Genomic DNA, 1,370 nt, shown 5'->3' with positions numbered 1-1,370 from the left:
CATATTGAGTACATTTAGTTTTGAAGAGGAAGTAATTGAATAAAACTGAAGTGTGTCTCCAGGAATCATTGGTACTCCAGGGGAGAGAAAAGAAAATACAGTACTGAATTTGTAACTGCCTGAGGAGTTCTTCCTGCCCATGCATAATGAAAAACTACAGCATTGTAGTAGAGAAAGAGTTTAGTAGACACTAGGATGGACAAGTCGTGTGGGAGACGAAGTTTGTACTCAAATCATCTCCTCAGAAGCTCGTAGGTTAGGGGTTTTTCAAAGGCAGTTTGGAGGACGGGGTCGGGTGGCCAGATAACAGATGCTTGCTGCTAATTGGTTGGGTGGAGATAAAATCATAGAGGGTGAAAGCTGTCCTCCTGTGGGCTGAATCGCCTCTGAGTGGGGCCACAGGAGCAGAGTCCAGGTGGAGCCATGGGTATCAGACATGCCAAAAACCTGGAAAGATTTCTCAAAAGGCAAATCTACAATAGTAGTGTTATTTGCAAGATTAATTGGGGTAGATGCATCTCTTATGACCTCCAGAATAATGGCTGATAATCCTTTATGCCTACACCTTAGCAGGACTCAGACTTCTCTCCTCCGCCCAGCTTGATGGCCTCTCATTAACTTTACAAAAGTGGTCAAGTCTTCGGGCAAGGCTATTATCATTTAAACTACAGCCTAAATGTCTTCCAAAGTTAATTTGGGGAATAATTAAGGGAAAAGCAAGAAAAGTCAGCCTAGTATTATAATTTTTCTCACTGATATAAGTTTTGCAAAGGTAGTTTCAGCTTTAATTGGGGTTGGCAATGGCAATGTGGTCACTACAGATTTGTAATGGATTAATAAGGAATTGTAGGGCACTATTGGAGGGAAAGTTGAAATTGTTGATCATGGGTGTGAGCTTGGAAAAGAGGCTACAAGGCTAGGAGAGAGATATGGAATTGGAAATTAGAGAGCAGTCAGTGGAATAGGGGTTAGCATAAAGGCCAACATCAAGCTTATCAGGAATGAGTAGATAAAAAATCTGGAATGACTAAATGTATTTAAGAATGAAAATTCAGCCTATTTTTGTAGATGTGCTTCATGGGATGACAATCCAAATTGTAGCCATGTTTGCTAATAGCTGAAAAATGAAGACAAACTTCATGGTTTGAAGACATCAAGTAAATCTGTGAAAAGAGGATTTTATAAAGATCATTGATGTGGATCCTGAAGTTACAAGACAGAGAAAGGAGTAGTGAATGACCCAAATAATAAAGTCATTAAAGAAGGTGATGATTTCTTTTGGTAGGGTAATAACTGAGAGTTGAAATAATGGAATAATCTTGGAGTAAAGACACCTCAAAGTCAAGGGAGTTTAGTACAAGTGTAATGTG

The 1,370-nt window shown here is 39.5% G+C and overlaps 1 annotated feature.

The window, feature by feature from the left end:
* Positions 334-867: an enhancer, noted in NCBI's record as "NANOG hESC enhancer chr5:110167579-110168112 (GRCh37/hg19 assembly coordinates)". NCBI's record gives its function as "activates a minimal SCP1, AML or CMV promoter by ChIP-STARR-seq in naive H9 embryonic stem cells {active_cell/tissue: H9 hESC(naive)}" and the evidence as "EXISTENCE:reporter gene assay evidence [ECO:0000049][PMID:30033119]".

Source organism: Homo sapiens, chromosome 5 (genome assembly GCF_000001405.40).
Source record: "Homo sapiens chromosome 5, GRCh38.p14 Primary Assembly".
NCBI classification, from domain to species: Eukaryota; Metazoa; Chordata; class Mammalia; order Primates; family Hominidae; genus Homo; species Homo sapiens.
This window is presented reverse-complemented; position numbering and strand designations above follow the sequence as displayed.